At 39.7% G+C, this 24306-nt stretch overlaps 1 annotated feature.

Annotated features, from left to right (window-relative positions):
- Positions 22072-22960: an enhancer, noted in NCBI's record as "NANOG hESC enhancer chr5:123890213-123891101 (GRCh37/hg19 assembly coordinates)". NCBI's record gives its function as "activates a minimal SCP1, AML or CMV promoter by ChIP-STARR-seq in naive H9 embryonic stem cells {active_cell/tissue: H9 hESC(naive)}" and the evidence as "EXISTENCE:reporter gene assay evidence [ECO:0000049][PMID:30033119]".

Here is a 24306-nt window from a genome sequence, read left to right as displayed (position 1 = left end):
AATATTTGTGTATTCTATTTTCCTTAAGAGAGCATGAATGGATTTATACACTTTGAATGGCTCCCAGTGGGTTTTGATACTTGAGAAAATCCACTTGGTCATTTGCTGATGTATAACATGTTTGCAAATGGGCAGTTTTTACATGCAGGCTGCCAAAACTACCCGTGGATAACAAAGAGCCCATGTCAAGAAGAGTTTGTTGCTTTCACACTCTGAACGGTCAGTTCTGAGGCACATGTGGGCAGGTCTATGCTATACTTACCACTTGTGTGCCCTAACCAAGAGTGTAGTGTAACCACTGTGTGGTTTGCCCTAAATATAGCCAAGTTCCTGTGATGTTTAAGAGACAATAACCTGCAGGGAATGCAAGCACTTTTCTTAGAAGTCAGTCACCCAAAGCCTCCAACCTAGAGCTCAAGGTGGGCTGAAAGTGGCAGAGTAACTTCCCCAATGCTCATTGCCTTCCCATAAAGAGGAAGGCCTTCAGAAGCCCAAAGTAATGACAAATTCAGGTGACATTTTTGGCCTTCTCTCCATGTCATTTTTATCGAGGCGTAGCATGCATACAGTAACCTGCACAAATCTTGAGTTTAGATGGATGAATTGATATCTGTCTCTCATGTGATTTGAAATAAAACTTAAGTGCAAGCTGTAAAACACAAGCTTTGCAAGTATTTTGAAATTAGAAGGATTTCTTTTTATATTTTCTGATTGCTAATTCTAGATAAATTAATTAAAGCTAAGCTTATCTCTCTTCCTCTCTGTGTATTTGCTTTTAGTGTCTTAAGCACCAGGCTGGTCTGACTCTGTTTAATATAGCCTTGCCTAAGAGCAAGAGAGGGAAGATTTTCTTCCCTTGGTGGTTCCAGACGGCGTGCTCTTGTACCCACAGGAGCTCAAAAGAGAAAATCAGGCTGAAAAACATCTCTGAAAATCTTGGCAATGTGTTTGAGGTGCTCTTTGGTAGTGCTTATTGGAAGCTAGAGGAATTGTGATTCTGGGTTTGAAGCAATCAATAAATCAAATGTAACATCTAAGGTAATTTTAGAGCATTCCCGGGGAAACATGGCTCATTCAGTTGCTCCTCTATCACTTAAAACAGAGTTCTTTGTCTTTGGGGTTGATGAGTAGGTATAAAAGCAAATCCAGAGCAAACTGTCAGATAAAGCAAACTCAATTCTTGTCCTATAATGACAAGGTCATGCACCACATAGAACTGCTTTTAGATTGGCTTTGAGTAAACTCAGATGAAGAAAAATTTGTATTAGAAAAAAAAGAGTGAGAAAAAAAAAACAAAAAACACCTCCCACCTCACCTGAGAATACAGAGGGATGAGAAGGCGTCCAGCTCTGGCAGGGACACTAGCAAATAGCTGTTTCCATAATGACTTCTTTACATTATTGAATACAATGGGAACTTTAAGGGCGACTGCAATAACAGTTTCTCATAAAAAATTAACAAAGAATTTATGGAAATGTAGGAAAAGTCCCAAAGCAATTAGCTTAGATTTCTCTAGAGTCTGAGAAAAGCCTGGATAATTGCATGCAGAAACCGCATAAAGTGGCTATTTTCATTATCGCTGGATACCGAAAGTCCATTTTCATCACAATGGGATATAATGATGTTAAAGCTAACAGGGAGATACGTTTAAAAAGGTTACAACACGGTTTACCAAATGGTTTGATTTATGTAACTTTGGAGATACACACTTAAGATTACTGTTAAGGCGACTGGAGAGGTTACCCTTGAAATTTCTAAAGACTCCTATATGATAGGAAAATATATTACAGTTTCTGAAAGCTAATTGTACATTACCACTAGGATGCACAAGAATGAATTTAATTTGTCTCAGAATTGAAAGTTGAATTGTACTACAAGCTGGCACATGAATATCCATTCTGACTGACTCTCTTGTAAATTGGCTATTATGTATGTTTATAGGTGCACCTAGGGCTGGGGTCCTCTCCCTGAATGTCTTAGAAACTCTGAGGTCCTGGCACCCTAAGGAAGCAGAGGCAACATTCTGAAAATCTGCAGAGTCTTTACTAGGCCTAAAGAGAGATTAGACATCATTATGTAAATGTCACTATTTTCAGTAAAATAAAATAAAATGAAGCGCATCATCTTTTCTTGTGATATTCACTCACAAGCACTGGCAGTTTAATGACTCTTCCCAAGTCCAGGAAAGCCATCTTCTCCCCGGCTGTCTGTGAAGAAATGGGGAAAGAGACATAATACAGTGAGCTTTCATCAACCCCCAGTGTCCTCTGCAATGTCACAGACACATACAGATCTGGATATCCTTTTCTATCTATAAAAAGCTGTAGTTAAGGCTGTGCCTGGGATTTGAATGATTCTTGAAACCATTAAATAGATTCTTGCTCTGAAGCCCACAGAATATTAATAACTTTTGTTAGCTGCAGTGTCAAAAGGATCATACAGTCTCAATCTTATTTGGTAAACACTCACTGTTTAAAAAAAAAAAGAAAGAAGAAAGAGATTATTTAAGTGGTTCCAACAAAAGCCTCAGCAGAGGTCCTACTCTGAATGGACACTGCTGCCTGGGGACAAATGTCAACACAGTTCAAGCTTTGTTAAAAGGACTGAAAGGATCCGCAAGCCTGCACACGGACACGCTTATGGCCAGCATTAAGAAAATCAATCTAAAATAACAACACCACATTCACATCCCAACCTGGCCAATACACTTCCAGCAGATGTGACAATCATATTTTGACAGTTCAGATAGCTGATAACGGATGGCAAAAGAAATTTCTATTTGACAGGGGACCTGAGTTTACACAATTACAGCCCTTCTGTTTGTCTGGGGCACATTAAGGACGCAAAAAGTGGAGAGAACAAACAGAAGCCAGTGTCTTGGTATAATCAAGGCAAAGTGATATGAGCCCCATCAGTATCATTCCAGTCTACTTTCAATTTTATTTCCTTCTGCATTTAATAGTAGCCCAAAGAATAAATTAAGATTCCTGCAGTCCTCCTTGTTTCCCAGCTTGCCATCTTTTTGCTAGGCTCTTTGTCATTTCAAATACATTTTTTTAAGCCCATCATTCACCTGGCTAATGAAAGAAAGGAAGGAAGAATGAATAGAAAGCTTTGTTGTAAATGGAACTGGCATTTCACTCAGGCATTCTGAGCAGCTCTGACATTCAACACCCTTGTACCTGAAACTCCTGGACATCTCCCATTCAGGCAGGTCAAATAAAGCTGTTCCTTGGGGGATAGTTTAAAACTACTTGTAACATGTTTTGATTTACAGATTATCAATTCTGCTGAGCAACAGAGGGACATATTTGGGAGTCGCATAAACAAATATATTCAGCGGTGCTGTGGATTAACCTAAAGTGACACATTTATTTAAAAATCTGCCTACTACTTGTCCTCATTGATTAAATGCCCTTAAGAAAGTAAGTCTGATGAAATGAAAGCCATTAAGATGCAGCACACCTCCTCTGCTCCTTTTGATGGTTGACACATTCCCTGGAGTGGGAGATTGGACGGCTGATAAGCTAACACTGAATTATAAGCACTTTGTGGAATGTCACTGGCAAATGAAAGATCTACTGTTTTGCTTGCAAAGCAACCGTATGCCTTAACAGCACAAAAATGGACACGGTGCAGAATTATTTCATCCTCAGTGCTTAGAATATAAACAAATGTGTACACCGTGCGTGCATTTTCACAGTAGAGATCAGCTCACAGCCAGCGAGGCTTGTTTCTGGCTGTAGTACCATTGATCATGAAAATAGAAGGGCCTGCCAAGGACTTTGTCAACGTTGTCAGGACTCCAACAAGCATCGGGTGATTTTGCTGTTGCCTGTTGTTACCTGAGCTTTCATAGTTTTGGAGAGGGGATTGTATAGGGGCATGAGAGTGTGTTGGTGGTGGAACTGAAGCGTGGAGAGGTTAAATGGAAAACTTTTTTTTTTTTTTTTTTTTTTTTTTTTTTTTTTTTTTTTAGGAATTAGAGGTGTAAACAACATTCGAAGTGTAGAGGATAGGGTGCCAATGTGGAGTTCATGCCATGTGTTTCCTTACTAGTCTTATGGCTTCGAGAAAATCACTTCAATTTGCTGAGTGTCCAGTTTCTTGAGCTGAAAAATGGAGCTAATAATGTTTGTTTTTTATTGGATTGTGGAGAGGATGGTGGGGAATAATGTACAAGGATGTGCTTTGTAAACAATTCAACACCATACAAACATCAGGGGTCATCACTAACCACAATGAACTAGAGCACCAGGAGTTTGCTCCAAGTGGAGGACACTCCCCCTGAGGGGCAGTGGTTCCCCCCCGCCATTGGCCTCCCTGCTGTGCCCTAGTTCTCCTGCCTGATGTCAGGCAGAATCACCGTGAATCTCCGTTGCAGACTGTTCAAGGCCCTAACAGAAACACGGAGAAGATCTGAAACATAGTTTAGACCTCAATCTGAACGATGTAATGAATGTATGTTAAGATTAGCAATCAATCACACTGTCTAGAATAAAAATAATAAAGGGACCCTAAAGTGCAATGAAACACTGGTAAATTTTGGAATTGCTTTGAAACTAAATTGGTGACAAGACTTGAGGAATAGTCAAACTACTTTTTTGTTGCTCTTTCTCTTTATGAGCAACAAAAATAAAAATAAAATCTTTAGTGAAAAGTTAATTTAAGGCTGGCCAATGGCTCATACCTGTAATACCAGTACTGTGGAAGGCCAAGACAGGAGGATCACTTGAGGCCAGGAATTCAAGACCAGCCTGACAAAACAGCAAGGCCTCATTTCTACAAAAGATTTTAAAAATTAGCCAGTAGCTGGGCCTGGTGGTGTGTGCCTGTAGTGCTAGCTACTGGGAGGCTGGGGCAGGAGGATTGCTTGAGCCTAGGAGATTGAGGCTACAGCGAGCTGTGATTACACCACTGCACTCTAGCCTGGGTGACAGAGCAAGATCAAGTCTTAAAAAAAATAGTTATTTTAGGTCTATCCACATAAATACTAATTTTCCTTCAAACCTTTCTCTTGGGCTTTGCCCATTAGGCACAGACATTTTTTCCCCCCAAAAGCTGTTTTGATAGCATTATTTGTTCCAAAACACCTGTGATTTGGATCAGGAAGAATTTGGGGCTGAGCTGACCCATGCCCATATTACTATGGCTCTCACGAGGCTTTCTCTCTGAGGCTGATTCTGGAGAGGGCTCCGGCTGTCCTGTTCCAGTCTGAAACTCGAGGTGGGGGTAGTACGAACAGTCCTGCTTAACCCCTGCCATGTGGTGGCCATAAAATGAATTTGGTTCTGGTTTTTGCTTAGCCACTGCTAGCTGTGTTGCTCTGGACTTAGCTCTTAAAATTCTCTCATAATAATAATAATGCTACTAACTAGGATAATAGCAAGAACAATGATGATGACTTCTAATTACTGAGTGCTTCTCAAGTGCCAAGCATTTTTAAAAGGGTTAATGTGTTGTATCTAAGGCCGGGCATGGTGGCTCACTCCTGTAATCCCAGAACTTTGGGAGGCCAAAACTGGCGGATCACAAAGTCAGGAGTTCGAGACCAGCCTGGCCAACATGGTGAAACCCTGTCTCTACTAAAAATACAAAAATTAGCAGGGTGTGGTGGTGCGTGCCTGTAATCCCAGCTACTTGGAAGGCTGAGGCAGGAGAATTGCTTGAACCCAGGAGGCAGAGGTTGCAGTGAGCTGAGATTGAGCCACTGCACTCTAGCCTGGGACAGAGTGAGACTCCGTCTCAAAAAAAAAAAAAAATTATTAATAGAATTCTCCTAGGAAGCTGAGATAGTGGGTACTATTATCACATCTGTGGTACCAGTTCAAATTCCTCCCTCAGTTTCCATATCTGGTAGATTTGAAAAGAGGGCTCAAACCCAAGGCTGGGGGACTGAATCCTGAGCTACATCCACCTTGCTCACCTCATAGGTCTGTGGAGAATATTAAATGTGATCAAGCCTGTGAAATCATTTTTTAAAATATTTATTTATTTATTTTAGAATTGTACTAGTGGCTGGGTGTGGTGGCTCACACCTGTAATCCCAGCACTTCAGGAGGCTGAGGCAGGCAGATCACTTGAGGTCAGCAGTTCGAACCCAACTGGCCAACATGGCGAAATCTCGTCTCTACCAAAAATACGAAAATTACACGAGTGTGGTGGTGCACACCTGTAATCCCAGCTACTCGGGTGGCTAAGGCATGAGAATCTCTTGAACCAAGGAGATGGAGGCTGCAGTGAGCGAGATCATATCACTGCACTCCAGCCTGGGTGGCAGAGGGGAGAGTCTGTCTCAAAATTAAAAATAAAAATAAATTTAAAAAATTGTATTAGCAAACCATTTCTTATGAAAAACTTTGAAATCACAAAAGAAGTAAAAACCACTTATAACTCTATTGATTTTTATAAGAAGATGTAAAGTCAAAAGTCCAAATCCCTTCCTACACCTCCCACCCCATCCCTCAGAGATAAACTCTAGTTAATAGCTGTTTTGTGTGCACTTCCAGATACTTTTTCTGACGAAAGTTCATTGAAGAGTAGCACACTCCAAAATCCAAGTGTGAGCCTGATTTCCTGCTGCTGCGGCATGAAGGTCACAGGCTGCCCTTGACCATCCAGCGTGTCAATTTCAGGATGCTCTGGCTGGCTTGAGCTGTGTGACGCTTCTGCAAGACCATCTGCGTGTGTCGAGGGACTGACGGCCCCCAGCTGGCCCACGTGCTGGGGAACGTGCTCTGACCTGTCTAGGATTTTTTGTCCCAGATTGTGTCTGTTTGCCTCTTTCTTTCTTCTTCTGTCTCTCTTCCTTGCCTGCTGACCCTCTTCTTTTACATTGTCCCCTATCTTGATGTCAGCAGAAAACATTCTGAAGTGAAAGTGACTGGTGGGAAGGGGAGAAGGGGATGAGGAAAAAAAATCAATGTTCTATTGCTATTTTTAGCTGCTGAGACTCCCTTCCCCTGATTTAGCTAAGTGCTTTGGGGCAGAACCAGCCACCACACTTGGTAGCTTCAGCAGATGTCCTATTGCTCCCAAGGGAATAAACCAGATACCTGGAAGGAAGGGGAGACCTTGGAGCTTTATAGGAATTGGTGAATAGGTGGAAGAGTGAGCTCATGTTTATTCTCCAAGTGCCTGGTGAAACCCCTGCCCAAGCTCAGATCCCAGGCATAGAGCTCACCCTGGGCTTCTCCCGTGGCTGAAAAGCCCTGAGTGACAGTGGAGCTAGTGGCAGCAAGATTGATTTTCAGAAGATAATTCCAGTGAATTTACTTGGTCAGATGGGGAGAACCAGTAGCAGATATTTCTGCTGTTAGGGCCATTTTATGCTGAAGATTGTAAGGCATTCCCATTCCCATGGAATTCAGAGCAGCCCAGTGGGCTTGCCTGGACACCCAGAGCAGCACTGCCTCCACCGTGGTCCAGGCGTCCTCTATCTACCTGGAAAACACAGTTTCTTTTTCAGAATAAATGTTTAAGTCAATACTGAATAGAGGAAATTGTAGTGACAGGACCTGCATACTTGATGTATACATCTTCTGCTCCTCACTTCTTTTTTTTTTTTTTTTTTTGAGATGGAGTTTCGCTCTCATTGCCCAGGCTGGAGTGCAATGGCGTGATCTCGGCTCACCGCAACCTCTGCCTCCCAGGTTCAAGCAATTCTCCTTCCTCAGTCTCTCAAGTAGCTGGGATTATAGGCATGTGCTACCATGCCTGGCTAATTTTGTATTTTTAGTAGAGACAGGGTTTCTCCATGTTGGTCAGGCTGGTCTCGAACTCCCGACCTCAGGTGATCTGCTGGCCTCGGCCTCCCAAAGTGCTGGCATTACAAGTGTGAGCCACCATGCCCGGCCTTCACTTCTCTTTTACATTTGACTGAACTGATAAAAGTAACCTAAAATCCAGAAACTTTTCTTGCTCCAACTGCTGCCTTGTGACTCGTTTACATAGTACGTTTTCACCTCTTCATAACTGGCTAAATGTAGTTTTAAGCAGAATCTTGGTTGTCCAGTTGATGTGGCGTGGCTCTCACTGCCTCTTTCTCACACATGCAGAATAATGTAGAACTGATTCCATCTAATAATAAGGAGGTAGAAGTTCCACTAAGAGAAGTTAGTCACTCATGGCATTGGAACCATGAAAGGGAAGCTATGAGTGGTTTATCAATGTCAGAAGGAGCCAGGGATTGAATTACAACTTAATATGCACAGTTGGGTGTATTTTATTATTTATAACACATGCTTCATTTTTAACACTCCTCTGAATGCAATATCACTCTTCATCACTCTTCGGATGGGTCTCCCATCCTGAACCCCTCCCTTGCCCAACCTCCATCATTTAAAATACTGTGAACTGTTGCTGTCAGGCAGGCTAGTGCACATGGAGCCAGGGATATCTGGTTTCATTTTTGCTTTTTTAAAAAGAAGTCAAGTCTAGATCTCTCAACTGCGTATTCCAAAGGCTTCATGAATTGAAAACGAAGAAAAAATATTCTATTTTTGCATTAAAATACAGCTTGTGCTCTATTTAAAAAAGAGCTTGTGCTTACCTAGGAGATTCAAAATACAAAAATAATAGACTCATTCAAAAGTATCTGTGACTCTCTGGGGGACATTGTGCTAGGCATTCGGGATACAGACATGAGGAGTTAGACAGGACTCTGAACTCATGGAGCTTACATTCTTGTTAGGCAAAAAGCAAGATAATTATAGATTGCAACTGAATGCTATGACTGAAAAACAGTAACTGTCTGATAGATAATCAGGGCCAGGCAGAGGAAGGGGCTGCTGTCCAGTGATCGTCTGCAGAAGGAGGAGGCAATTAAGCTGGTTGAGGCAGAGATGTTAATTTTCAGATCCCTGCTAGGCCATTTATAAACTCCTTTGGCAGGTCTCGAGTAGCTCATCATTGTAACACGGACAATGAGGCAGGTTGCAGGAGGGTCACATGGAGAGTTCCCACTGGAGATCTACTGGTTTGCTAGAGCTACCATAACAAGGTACCATAGACTGGATGGCTTCAGCAACAGAAATTTTTTTTGTCATAGTTCTGGAGGCTGAGAAGCCTGATATCGAGGTGTTGACAGGGCTAGTTTTTGGTGAGGCTTCTCTTCGTGGCTGTAGATGGCCGTCTTCTCCCTGGATCTTTATATGTCACCATTTGTGCATGCACAAGTCTGTGTCCAGATTTCCTTTTCTTATAAGGGCAATGGTCATACTGGGTTAGGGCCTAAATTAGCGATCCTATTTTAACTTAATTACCTCTTTGAAGACCTTATTATCTGCAAATACAGCTACATTTTGAGGTACTGGGGGTGAGGACCTCAACTATGACTTTTGAAGGAAGAAAACTGAGCCCTTCAGGAGAGGAAAAGAAGAATGTCTACCTTTCTGAGAATGGTTGTAGATTTTTGTAGGGATGCAGTTTGGGAACATTATCTTATCCTCTGGGTATCTTGTAATGTGCTGCACCTTGTGTCTAAGAAAAATGACCATCAGATAACACATTCAAGGACCATTTTGCATTCTTCAAGTACACTGGGCATCAGTGGGTGGGTCCTGTCATGGGTCAGCCTCCTGGGAACCTTGGACTGGACTGCAGATTTTTTTTTTTGACAATGTTTTACATCTATTATTCAAAATGGGAAGTTGATGTGACTACCAATTCTGAAAAGGTGCTGCTGAACATTCTCTATCTAATTGAATATATATTAAAATTATCAAGCCAAATCATTAGAAAAAGAACACCTACTTTAAAAATTTTTGTTGATACATTCATAATTTTGTACCATAAAAGGAAATCAATTGACAATTGATTGAAAACTATGTGGTCAGTGCTCTGCTAAGGGGGAACTAGAAACACACAAATTGATTTATTCTTTCTTTCACTCAACAAATATTTATTGAGTCTTTACTGTAGGTTTTATCTACCATGTCCATTTTAGAAAACCTGGCTAAAGATAATTCAAGCATGATCTGATTTCACTAACTGTGGGAGGTGGATATTTAAGTAGACAATTAAAATGGGCCAGACTCGTTGGCTCATGCCTGTAATCCCAGCACTTTGGGGGGCCAAGGTGGTCCGATCACAAGGTCAGGAGTTCGAGACCAGCTGGGCCAACATGGTGAAACCCCATTTCTACTAAAACTACAAAAATTAGCCAAGAATGGTGGCACGCACCTGTAGTTCCAGCTACTCTGGAGGCTGAGGCAGGAGAATCACTTGAACCCGGGAGGCGGAGGTTGCCACTGCACTCCAGCCTGGGCAGCAGAGCAAGACCCCATCTCAAAAACAAACAAACAAACAAAACAATTAAAACAATGTGACACCTGAGTAGAGTAAGTACAAATGCAGGCATGATCTGAGTTTATCCAATTTGTTCGATGTGCTTTTTATTGTAAAATCCCTCTACAAACCACTGTGCTGGGGGCATAGTAGAGATAAGACCAGAAAGGTCTGGGATATCACATTACTCAGAGAAGGTTTCCTGGCTCCCATGGAATTTCTGGGCAGAACCTGTGAGTCTGCATGTTTCTCTTAGTAGACTTGATTAATAAGTATGTATCAAAGAATCAAAGAAAATGGCCAGGTCTTGTTTTACAAAGACACTCACATGAACATATTCAAACTGATACTCCCAAACTACTTGCTCTTACTCTACTCAGGTGTCACATGGTCTTTTTTTTTTGAGATGGAGTCTCACTGTCGCCCAGGCTGCAGTGTAGTGGCACGATCTTGGCTCACTGCAACCTCCTCCTCTTGGGTTCAAGCGATTCTCCTGCATCAGCCTCCTGAGTAGCTGGAATTACAGGTGCGCACAACCACACCTGGCTAATTTTTGTATTTTTAGTAGAGACGGGGTTTCACCATGTTGGCCAGGCTAGTCTCAAACTCCTGACCTCAAGTGATCCGCCCGCCTTGGCCTCCCAAAGTGCTGGGATTACAGGGATAAGCCACTGCCCTCTGTCAAATTGTCTTAATTGTTTACTTACATATCCACTTCCCACGTTTAGTCTGTGCATTTCTGTAGTGCCAGAAGTGGAGCCCACTGAATGGTTGATAAACATTTGTCGAATGAATGAATGAATCAATTTGGAATTTCTTGGAAAGCTTTTCTTTGTGTAGGTTGTTTCAGACTTTGTAGTAATTATATATATATATATATATATATGTGCATTATTTTATATTTTTTAAGACACTGGCTTTCACTATATTGTCCAGGTAGGAGTGCAGTGGCCATTCATAGGTGTAATCACAGTGCACTACAGCCTCAAACTCCTGAGCTCAAGCCATCCTCCTGTCTCAGCCTCCTTAAGTAGCTGGGACTACAGGCATGTGCCACTATGCCTGGCCAATATATTTTTGAATTAGATTAAAAATGCATCACTAAATTGTGGCACACAATAGTATCTAGACAGAGTTCTAAAGTACATTTGGATGCATGCATGACAAGTGTGATCCATTAAAAGGGCTTCGGAAGGTATCTTTTATGCATTGTCTAAATGGAAGGCTACTAAAAATGCATGAGAAAGAGAATGAGAGCACAAGTGAGAGTGAATTGAACTTAGCATTTGGAAAAAAAATGAGCACCTTGGTCACATTCATCAATTGTACCAAGATATTGCTCAGGCCTTGCAGAGATGGGAACACAGAGTACCGTGGGCTCTTAACTATTCCCAAGGGCCAGAGCTCCCTGATATGCTTCTCTGTCATATTTGTGGGCTCACATAAAATCAATAGAAGTTCCAGGAGAGTCAGGAAAATATGTGAGGATAACTTCTGGTTTCAGGGGATTTTAACTGATTCTAAGAAATTTGGACAAAAGACCAGTGAAAATCTCTTAGCAAAACAAAAATCGCTTCTGAGATGAATTGTAACTAAATGAATGGGAAACACCAATAATTATTCCTATCTTGAAATTAATAGTATCTGGAGACAAAGTGATAGAAGATGAAATATGTACATTGGAAATCCATAATATAAAGTTTATTTAACATTTATAAAATCATCATGTTCAACAATAAGAGGTTAATTAAATTATGATACATCCTTATGATAGATTACCTGATAGCCATTAAATATATATTTTTTAAATTTAAAAGCTATGAAAAACACTTATGCAATAAACTAAAAAGTAGGTTACAAAAATATATAAATATTAAAAACACAATTGTGTAAAAATATGTATAGGAGAAAGATCAAAGACCTGGCTGCCAGAATGTTAACTGCTATTTTCAGGTGTATGTATGTGTAATGTGTATGGGGGAATGAAGGTCAATGGTTTTTCTACATAGCTATTTTCCTATATTTTCCATGCATTTAAAAAATTTTCTTTTAGGCTGGGCATGGTGGCTCACGCCTGTAATCCCAGCACCTTGGGAGGCCAAGGCAGGTGGATTACAAAGTTAGGAGTTCAAGACCAGCCTGGCCAACATGGTGAAACCTGTCTCTATTAAAAATACAAAAATTAGCCAGGTATGGTGGTGCACAACTGTAGTCCGAGCTACTTGGGAGGCTGAGGCAGGAGAATTGCTTGAACCCGGGAGGCAGATGTTGCAGTGAGCCCAGATCGTGCCACTGCATTCCAGCCTGGGTGACAGAGTGAGACTGTCTCAAAGAAAAAAAAAATTCTTTTAAATTATGAAAATTTCAAAGAAATAGACAAGATTGGCAATCACAGAAATGATACTTATGCACCCATCACAAAGATTAAACAGATGCTAATAATAGGCCATATTTGCTTCCGATCTCTCTTTAAAACATACAAGAAATTTGACATTACAGGTAACAACTTTAGTGTCACTCCTCTCTCCTATTCTCCCACCCGCTTTGTAGAAGTAATCACTGCTTTTTCTTTAGGTACATGTTTGCCTAGAATAAACATTGCATCTCCCAGATATTGCCATTTGAGTGAATTCCGGCCAGTGGAAGTGGAATTAAAGTAGAAGTTATATGTACAACATCCTGGAGGATTCGCTAAAGAAGGAAGGGCCCCTTCTCTTTCCTCTTCCTCCTTCATACTGGCTAGAGTGGGGCTATCATGGTAGGAGCTCTCTTGGACCACTACGTAGAAGCTATGGGCTATGGACGGTGGCGCTACGAGACAGAAAAATTCGTTTTCTTCATGCCTGCAGAGTTGCCATCTCAACTAAAGCAACTTATGTAGACTTCTATTTGACAAATCTAATTCTAATGTATTTATGCCACTATCACTAAATTTCTTGTCAATGGTAACCTAAATTAACCCATACACTGTGCATCATTCTGAAATACGTCTTGTAATTTTTAACACATATGTATGTATCCTAAACTATATGTAGTATGAGTTAATATTATAACTAAATATTATACTGTACATATCCTTTTGTAATTTGCTTTTCAAAAAATATAACAAGTTGTTTTTCATAATCATTCATGTTGATATCTGTAGATGCAGTTCACTAATTTTGGCTGTTATATATTATTCTACAGTTTATGTCTATCCCCCTTGAGGAATATATAGATTGGTTTCACTTTTTTATTATTATAAAAAGTGCTATAACAAACATCTTTGTACATGGTTTGTTGTGTAAATGGTGAGTTTCTCAAAGGTGGATACCTAGTGGTGGAATTTCTGGGTTAAAGAGTACACATGGCCAGGCTTGGTGGCTCATGCCTGTAATCTCAGCACTTTGGGAGGCCGAGGCGGGTGGAACACATAAGGTCAAGAGTTCAAGACCATCCTGACCAATATGGTGAAATCCCATCTCTACTAAAAATACAAAATTAGCCTGGCGTGGTGGCGAATGCCTGTAATCCGAGCTATTTAGGAGGCTGAGGCAGGAGAGTCTCTTGAACCTGAGAGGCGGAGGTTGCTGTGACCTGAGATTGTGCCACTGCATCCAGCAACGGGCAACAAGAGTGAAACTCTGTCTCAAGACAAAAAAGAAAGAAAAAAAAAAAAAAGAAAAGAGTACATACATTTTTAAATTTTACTAGGTCTTGCCAAAGTGGTTGTTCTAAAAATCTACTCTTTCCGGCAATGTTAAAGAGTTTCTATTTCTCTTCATCCTGAATAATATTTGATATTATTGGGCTTTTCAATTTTTGCCTGTCTGATGAATATGAAATGGTGTTTTACAGTCATTTTCAATTTCTCTGTTTTTCATGATGAAAATGTATCACCTTTATAATTAAGAAAGATAAATATTAAAACCTCTCCCGGCTTGAATCTCAAGATGTACATTAAGTTGCTTCAGGGAGTCTAGACATGTATCAGGTATCAGTGGGGAATCTTTCTCATCCATATGGTTCTCTCTCTAAGCTCCTAGAGGCATCTAATCTATTATTCTAGAAACGCTGTGTACAGTAATACAGGACAATAAACTTTTGTTCTGCTTAACACACTTTTTATGAGAGTTTCAAAATCATAGTGCTGAAGCCAGCTGAATTGGTGACCTGTGACTTGGTGTTTCTGGATTCCTTGCTACAAAATTGTCTTGTTCTGCTGCCATTGTAAGCAAGTCTCTTAGCTCCTTTGTATTATCTACCCTTCCAAAATGCTGTGAAATGGAGAAGCATGGTTTTGCTTGATCCCCCTTCTCCCCGGCAGTGTCTTCTGTGATTCTCTCCTCTTGGTGAATATGTGCCTTCCTTCTACTTCCACAGTCATCTCCATCTTACTCACCTTCACTTTTTCCTCCCTCACTGACGGCGCTATCTTGATTCAGATTTCTATAGACCAGGGACCTGAGCCCAACTGACAGTTCATCATGCAAAATTGCTCTCTTGAGGTCATTGCTTTCTGAAGGCCTTTTGTACTTTATTTTATTTTTGAGACTGTCTCACTCTGTCGCTCAGGCTGGAGGGCAGTGGCATAATCACAGCTCACTACAGCTTCAACCTCCTGGGCTCAGGTGATTCTTCCACCTTAGCGTCCCTAGGAGCTGGCTCTACAGGCGCATGCCATCAAACCTGGCTGTTTTTGAATTTTTGTAGAGACAGGATTTTGCCATATTGCTCAGTCTGGTCTTGAACTCCTGGTCTCAAACAATCCACCCGCTCCGGCCTCCCAAAATGCTGGGACTACAGGCGTGAGCTACGGTGCCCATCCAGCATTTGCACTTTAATAGGGGACTCCGAAAGACAGAAGCCTCGAAGACTTCTGTCTTCGAGAAGAACTTCTAAGCCTTCGAGAAAGGACTAGATCTCTTTGAATAGAATTTAAGATACTTGATTAGTGCAAGAGGTAAAGGTTTGGAGCTTAGAGACTTCGTTGAAGGTGCTCCAATGATAACATAAGATTTACAAATGTGAATCAACTTGAGATTGGCCCAGCACTTAAAAAATATGTGTACATGGCCGGGCGTGGTGGCTCATGCCTGTAATCTCAGCACTTTGGGAGGCCGAGGTGGGCAGATCATGAGGTCAGGAGATCGAGACCATCCTGGCTAACACGGTGTAACTCCATGTCTACTAAAAAATATAAGAAATTAGCCGGGCGTGGTGGTGGGCGCCTGTAGTCCCAGCTACTTGGGAGGCTGAGGCAGGAGAATCACTTGAACTGGGGAGGCCTCAAAGGTTGCAGTGAGTCGAGATCGCACCACCGCACTCCAGCCTGGGTGACAGAGCAAGACTCCGTCTCAAAAAAAAAAAAAAAAAGTGTACATGAAAATAATATGTTAGTCAAGTCTTGTTAAGACAATATTTCACATAGTGTATGTTTATTTCCAGATCTTTAAGGTAAAATTCTAGTAATGACAAGAAAAGCCACAGCTGTATAAAGTCCAAAGGTGCTGAAATGATAACATAAGATTTACTAATGTGAATCAACAGGGTCTTGTTGTGTCACCCAGCCTGGAATGCAGTGATGCCATGATGGCTCACTGCAGCCTCTACCTCCTGGGCTCCGTTGATTTTCCTACCTAAGCCTTCCAATTAGCTGAGATACAGGCCCACGCCACAACACCTAGCTAATTTTTGTATTTTTTGTAGAGACAGGGGTCTTTCTATGTTGCCCAAGCTGGTCTCAAGCTCCTGGGCTCAGGCAAGCCTCTCACTTTGGCCTCCCAAAGCGCCAAATTTACAGGTGTGAGGCATCATGCCTGGCCTAGAAGTACCATGTCTTATTGTTTCTGAACATACAAATCAAAGACACAAATGGTGACATAATTTAACAATAATTTTGGTCTAATATAATTTAGATATGATTGTTCTCAGTATTTACAATTTTGTTCCCTCTGTGAAATAATTTTTTTTTTTTTTTTTTTTTTTGGTAAAAGAGAAGAGTGAAACACTGTAGAATTCGTAGCTGAACTTCGGACAGATTAGCACAATCTTCTTTTCCATGCCTCAAGGCCGCCTGCAAATATCTTAAATAAAAGTTAAAGGCATTTACCTATTTTTTCAAATCCAATGGAAATATTCATATTAAAGACGTTTTATACAAGTCAGCTTCACTTTAAAAACACTTCCAAGGGCAAGTTGTTGATGTAAATTGTCCTTATGTTCTGTTTTACTTCTGCAGTGTATTTAGACTTTTGAATTATAATGGGCAAATCTATATACCAGAGGATTTTAGTGTTTGAAATTTATTTCACTTTGTTCATACAAACTCAATTATTCCAGAAATAAGAATTCTGGTGTGAGTCACTTTTACAGAGTTGGGGCTTTGCTGCATGTGAATTTCTGGAAGCTCAAAATAAGGTTTCTCTAGGGGAAATATGTAAATTTGTTTGTTTTACTCGCAGCCTTTAAACTTACATGATATTTGACACAAATGGAAAAATACACACACACACACGTACACTTATAAGCATGAATAAAACTACAACAAAAGTCCACCAAATTAACTGATCTCCATCATTCTGTTATCAAAGGCAACCACTCTCCTTTTGTGTTTGTGTTCATTCCCTTGCTTTTTCCCTTAAACAGCTTTATTGAGATATAATCCACACCCATACCATACACTCATTTAAAGTGTAAAGTTCAAAGTTTTTTTAATTGATATTTACAGAGTTCTGCAACCATCATCACAATCATTTTAGCATATTTTATCACTAAAAAAGGAAGCACTGTACCCATTAACAGTTACTTTCATCCGCAACTCTCAACTCCTCCTCCCCATTTTTAAATATAACTTTTAACCACAGATGCACAACATGTATGCCTTTATCACTATGTATTTAGCTTTGATTTCAAATACAATACAATTTTTTCATACTTTACTTTTTTTCATTCAACACATTTCTAAAATTCATCCATGCTCTTGTACATAGCTATAGTTAATTCATTTTCATAACAGTATATTTTTACTGTTTGAATAAACCCACAATTTGTGCATATCCTTAATTTGTTTGGTTTGTTTTTAGTTTTTTTTGCTACAATAATTCTGTTCTGAATAATTGTGTACATGTCTCCTGGTATACATATGCAAAAGTTCCTCTAGCATAAATTGGCACTATAATTTTTGGCTGAAAGTTCAACTTTTCCAAACAATGCAAAATTTCATTGCAAAGTAGTTATAATAATTCATATTCTCATTAGTTGAGAGGCAGATTATTCTTCCACACTCTTGCCAACGTTTAGTGTTGTCAGGTTTCTTAATTTTTGCTGTTCTAATGGATGAAAAATGGTATCTCATTGTGTTTTAATTAGTGTTTCCCTGACTGTGAATGATGTTGAGCTCTTTCCATAGGTTCATTTGCCAGTCTTGTTTCCTCCTCTCTAAAATACCTGTTCATATCTTTTCCCATTTGGTTGCTTGCCTTAGTGATTAACAGCACTTCTTTATATATTCTGAATACCATTCAGTATTTGGCTATGTATGTGGCAAATACCTTCTTCAGGTTTCTAGTTTGTGTTTGTGCTTTTCATTGGTGCTTACCTCTCTCAAGTTATCGTCTACTTGTATTTTAAAATATCAATTATAATGTTTTTGACTTATGCGTTACTTAGAAGTCTTTTAAAAATGGCTATATGAGTTTTTTTAAAACTCACATAACTTATTTCTATTTATTCATTTCTAACTTTATTACATTATGGTTAAAATCTGAAATTTGTTGGTACTTGCTTTATGGCTTCTGTGTGGACGATGTTTTTGTAAATGTTCCATGTGTGCTTGAGAGGACTATATATTCTCTAATTGTTGGGCACAGCATCTTATTTACATCTTTTTTTTTTTTTTTTTGAGAGGGAGTCTCACTCTGTTGCCAGGCTGCAGCGCAGTGGTGCGATCTTGGCTCACTGCAACCTCCAACTCCCTGGTTCAAGTGATACTCCTGCCTCAGCCTCCTGAGTAGCTGGGATTACAGGCGCCTGCCACCACACCCAGCTAATTTTTTTTTTTTTTTTGTATTTTTAGTAGAGACGGGGTTTCACCATGTTGGCCAGGATGGTCTCGAACTCCTAACCTGGTGATCCACCTGTGTCGGCCTCCCAAAGTGCTGGGATTACAGGCGTGAGCCACCGCGCCCAGCCCCTATTTACATCTTTTAAGTCAAGCATGTTGACTGTGATTTAAAATTTCACATATTTACCACTCTTTTGAAAGCTTGAGCCATCAATTATGGAGAGATACATACTGAAATGTTCCACTATAATGATGGATTTGTTACTTTTTATCTGTAATTTTATCACTTTATTGTTTTGTACTTTTTGAGTCCCTATTTGGTGCATAAACATTTTAAATTTTTACATGTTTCTGTTGAGAAGAACCTTTACCACGGTGACACATTTTGTTTGAAAAACATGTGTGCCTCTTAAGGTCATTTTTTTCTGAATTAATATATTTAACCCTGTTTTCATTGGTTCATTTTAATCTTATATTTTTTTCTCCTTTTACTTTCAACTTGATCAATTTTCATCGTTTTACTTTCAATCTTGCCATGTACTCATTTTTAAACTTTATTTTGTAACTAGCATATAGCCAGATGCTTTCCCACCCAATCTGATTATCTCTATTCCTTGGCTGGACAACTGAAATCATTTACATTTATTTTTATTAGTAATACGTTTAAATTTGTGTTTTCTGTGTTACTTTGTAGTTTTCTATATCATGACTTTTCTGTGTGTATAAATTTGAGTTTGTTTATTTTCTTATTCTATTTTTCCTTCTAGTTATTTGGATAATATTAAGAGGTGAAGCCAGCTGGACTTTTGGGTCAGGTGGGGACTTGGAGAACTTTTCTGTCTTGTAGGAGGATTGCAAAATGCACCAATCAACACTCTGTAGCTAGGATTGTAAAACGCACCAACCAGCACTCTGTGGCTAGCTAGAGGTTTATAAAATGTGCCAATCAGTGCTCTGTAAAAACGCACCAATCAGCACTTGATGGCTGGCTAGAGGTTTGTAAAATGGACCAATCAACACTCTGTAAAATGGACCAATCAGCGCTCTGTAAAATGGACCAATCAGCAGGATGTGAGCGGGGACAAATAAGGCAATAAAAGCTGGCCACCACAGCCAGCAGCGGCAACCGGCTTGGGTCACCTTCCACTTTGTGGAAGCTTTGTTCTTTTGCTTTTCACAGTAAATCTTGCTGCCGGTCATTCTTTGGGTCCGTGCCACGTTTAAGAGCTGCAACACTCACTGCAAAGGTACACGGCTTCATTCTGGAAGTCAGAGAGACCAAGAACTCACCAGAAAAAACCAACCCCAGACACAATATGACTGTCTATTTTTGTAGTGGCTACACTTTAAATTTTACTGTGTATTTGGACTACCACTACTATTTAGACTTAACCGAAGTCCAAAGTTAGTCTTATCTAAATGACTTTCCAAACCATACACAAACTTAAAACATTTGTTATTCTGAGAACCATTCTCCAAAATACCTTTTATTTTTGTTCATTATTTTAGTTTTTAATCCAATAACATCAGACATTAGCATCATTATTATTGTATAGAATGTTTGCTTAAATTTACATACATGTTTTCCACTTTCGTTTTTCTCATTTTCTTCTCCTGTATTGGGCAGCTTTCTTATTTTCTGAAATACATCTTTTAAAAGTTTCAATGGTGAAAGTCTGCTGAGTAGACTATATCAGTATTTGCTTATTTAAACACGTCCTTATTTCATCCTCATTCTTAAAGGATATTTTGCTGAATATCCTGTTTTAGGTTGATGGTTGTATACGTTAGCATTCGGATGGCATTCTTTCACTATCTTCCAGCTTTCACTACAGCTTTTGAGAATCTTGCTTCCCATTTAATTGTTTCTCTGTGATTTGCAATTTTCCTCTTCATGCCTTATAATTCTTTATTTCGTCATTGATATTCTGCTCTTTGACTACAATGTGACTAAGTGTGGATTTGGTTTTATCTGTGCTGTTTGATATGGGTTTTGCATCCTCTGTGTGAAAAGTCTTGTGTTTCATCAGTCATGGAATATCATCAACCATTACCTTTTATAACACTATTTTTTTTTTTGAGACAGAGTTTCACTGTTGTTGCCCAGGCTGGAGTGCAATGGCGCAATCTTGCACTGCAACCTCCGCCTCCTGGGTTCAAGTGATTCTCCTGCCTCAGCCTCCTAAATTGCTGGGATTACAGGTGCCCACCACCACGCCTGGCTAATTTTTGTATTTTTAGTAGAGATGGGGTTTCACTATGTTGGTCAGGCTGGTCTCGAACTCCTGACCTCAGGTGATCCACCTGCCTTGGCCTCCCAAAGTGCTGGGATTACAGGCGTGAGCCACCACGACCAGCATACCATTACCTTTTAAATATTGCTTCTCCTCCATTCTTTCTCTTCTTTCCTTCTAAAAATTCCATTAACTGATTTTTAGTCTTCTCACTAAGCCTTCTCCATACTTTCTATTCTCTGCACTGCATTGTGAGTAACTTTTAAATATCTATTACCCCATTATCTAATTTTTTCTTCAGCAGTATATAATCGACTGTCTCATACTTCAATTGAGGTTTAAATTTAAATGCTTATAACTTTTATTTTTGAAAGTTGGTTTGATTCTTATTTAACTCTTTCTGATAATTTTGTAAAGTCTTTTGCTTGATAAATAAAAAGTTGTTTTTGCAAAATTATATATTTTTAAGAAATATGTCACACCTATTTTATATTCTGTATCTTAGAATTATTCCAGTAGTAAAATCATCAAGGCACTAACTTCATGGATTTTTGTTTTCGCTGAATTCACTTATAGCTGCTTATTTCCTTGTGTGGTTGGTAATGTTTGTTGTTGCTGTTGTGAGCTCCTATTTTGTTCAACGTAATCTCTAGGAATCATGTGAGACTGAATTGGCAATACTTTCTTTCAGAGAGAATTTGTGTTTGCTTCTTGGAGCTGGGAGTGGGGTGCTTCTTTTTTTTTTTTTTTTTTTTGAGACGGAGTCTCGCTCTGTCGCCCAGGCTGGAGTGCAGTGGCGGGATCTCGGCTCACTGCAAGCTCCGCCTCCCGGGTTCACGCCATTCTCCTGCCTCAGCCTCCCAAGTAGCTGGGACTACAGGCGCCCGCCACTACGCCCGGCTAAGTTTTTTTGTATTTTTAGTAGAGACGGGGTTTCACCGTTTTAGCCGGGATGGTCTCGATCTCCTGACCTCGTGATCCGCCCGCCTCGGCCTCCCAAAGTGCTGGGATTACAGGCGTGAGCCACCGCGCCCGGCCGGGAGTGGGGTGCTTCTAACGTGGGATCTCTTTAGCTGTTTTGGAGGATCCATACTAATGCATATTTCCCAGATTCAGCTCCCTCAGCTTGCAGCAGTGACAACATTTAGCCACCCAAGTTCTCCACTACTGTTGAAATTTACTCTAGGTTAACTCCAGATTTGGTGATATTGTTCACCTATCTGGCTTCAGTTTCAGCTTGCTACTCCTGTTCTATTCCTTTCAATCTCTTAAAATTTTTTTTTCTTAATTCCCCACACTACATTAAAAAATTGTTGTTGTTGTTGTAGTTTACCCAGGATCAGTGTGTCCCTAGTCTTGTGTATTACCCAAATCTGATATCCCAGACCTTTTTCACTTAGAGCAGTAAACATCTCTCAGGGGCTTTCTTCTCACATATGCTGTTTCAGCACTTACCATGTGCCAAGCTCTGTACTGGATGCTGTAGAGAATAATGTTTTTGTTCTTGAGAGCTTGGAATCTGATGGGAAAAATGGACATGTGCACCAGTAATGATTCTGTAAGGCAGCCTGAGATGTATGCTGAAACAGCCACAACTACCAAACATGGCAAAGGCTAAGGAGGGAGGACTTTGCTGTCCCTGGGGAAAGCTGAGATTGTAAGGCGCAAGCTCGTGCATTGAATATAAGCTTCCATTTCATAACAGTCCAGGGGTGTACTGCTGGGCAGAAGTTAAATCAAGTCTCTTTCATGTTAAGAGTGACTGATGTGAAGGGCATAAGCTTACTGCAGAAATCTGAGGAAACATTCCAGACAGCCCATGCTGTTCTCCTAGTCACAAACCTCCACTTGTACTAGGAAATTATTTAGAAGGTGCATGGCTGAGTAAAGATGGAACACATTTAGGTATTTCAAATATTTCCCAGGAAGAAATAGTCAATGCTTATACTGCTATTAAAGAGAACTTCTAAAGTGACTACTGTTTGTCTACTGATGTTTTCTATTATAACCCTATTTTAAGAGGGTTGTAACTTCACTGTAAAAATTCCCTCTGGGTGAAAACTTAGCATACCAGAGTGCTCCCTTTGAATAATGCTTTGTTTTTTTTTTAACTGATTTGTTTTACAGTAGCCAAGGTCTTTGAAAGTCAAAAAAGAGACAACAAAGCTCTTAGTATTGGAGGGAATTGATTCTTTCTATGGATGTTTGCATTCTGTACTGCATGGAAGATAAAAAATAAATAAAACAAGAATCAAACCTATTTGTCTTCTTAATGTACAAAACAAATATCCAATTTTAGATAAGAGTCTTCATGCAGTGTGCCCAAAATTACAATAACAAAGCTATATAATGTCTACTAAAGGGAAGAGCATTTTTTATTTTTTTTTTAAGTAACAGATGCAGTTGTAAGACACCAGCTGGCTAAAGTAGTATAACCCAATAGATGGAACTTACATAGAAGCAGACAGCAGTTTTGCTATTTCTACTGAGTTAGATGAGCTCTACCAAGACACTGAACAATATTGTAAAAACTCCGGTGATATTCAAAGAGATCAATATATTTAATACTAGGCATTATGTGCTTTGCATTAAAGAACAGAAGGAGACAGTGAAGGATGGAGAAGATATTCTACTCAATGGGCACCATATAAGGCATAAGGTACTTCAGATAGGAACCTGAAACTGTTGTGTTTTTTTGGTAGCCTCAGTTCCCACATGTTTCTTTTCTTGATGTGCTGAATGCAATTCCAGTGACTAAAGATACATAATCTGAGTATGAGTAGGTGCCACAACAGAGACAAAGCCATCTGGTCTACCACTGAAGAAAGTGCTGGCTTTACTCTGTTTCGAGTGAGTTGGTGTGTATATCTACCAAGTGGTGCCTTTCTAAGAATTGTTAAGGTTAAGTTTTCTTATATACAATTAAGTTTTAACTCATTTATCAGTTTTAGAATCTAACACAGAGTAAGATGTGACTTTGTGTTCTATGTTAACAGAAATCGTAAGAAAAAATGTGTTCTTACCCTTTAAAGTTATAGAGATGAGAAGGAAATTATAAAAATAGAATTACAGAAATAGAGATTAGTGGTTGCCATGGGTTAAGGAGGGGCAGGTAGAGAGGGCAGTGGGTGTGGCTATAGAAAGTCAACATGAGGGATTTTTGTAGTATTGGAAATATTTTGTATCTTGCCTGCATCAATGTCAATATTTTGGTTGTGATACCATGCTATCATTTCTGAGGATATTACCACTTGGGGGAAAGGTGTACAGAATTCCTCTATATTATTTTTTACAACTTAATATGAATCTATAATTATATCAAAATAAAAAGTTTAATGGAAAATAATATCAGATTTACTTTAATAATACATATAATAAAAAGCGAGACCAGTAACAACATGGAATCTAATAGAACAGGGATCAGTAAGTTATGGTCCACAGGCCAAGTCTGGCCCACTGCTTGTTTTTATAAATAGCCTTTCATTGGAACACTACTGTCTTCCTAAATTATCTGTTGTCTATGGATGCTGTTGTGCTGCAATAGCAAAATAAAGTCATTGCATTGGAGACTGTATGATCGACAAAGCCTAAAATATTTACTATCTTACTCTTTACTAAAAAATATTTGCCGATATAGAACATAAACTAGGCTGGGCCGAGTGGCTCACGCCTGTAATTATAGCATTTTGGGAGGCTGAGGTGGGTGGATTGCTAGAGTTCAGAAGTTTAAGGCCAGCTTGG

This window comes from Homo sapiens, chromosome 5 (assembly GCF_000001405.40).
Source record: "Homo sapiens chromosome 5, GRCh38.p14 Primary Assembly".
NCBI classification, from domain to species: Eukaryota; Metazoa; Chordata; class Mammalia; order Primates; family Hominidae; genus Homo; species Homo sapiens.
This window is presented reverse-complemented; position numbering and strand designations above follow the sequence as displayed.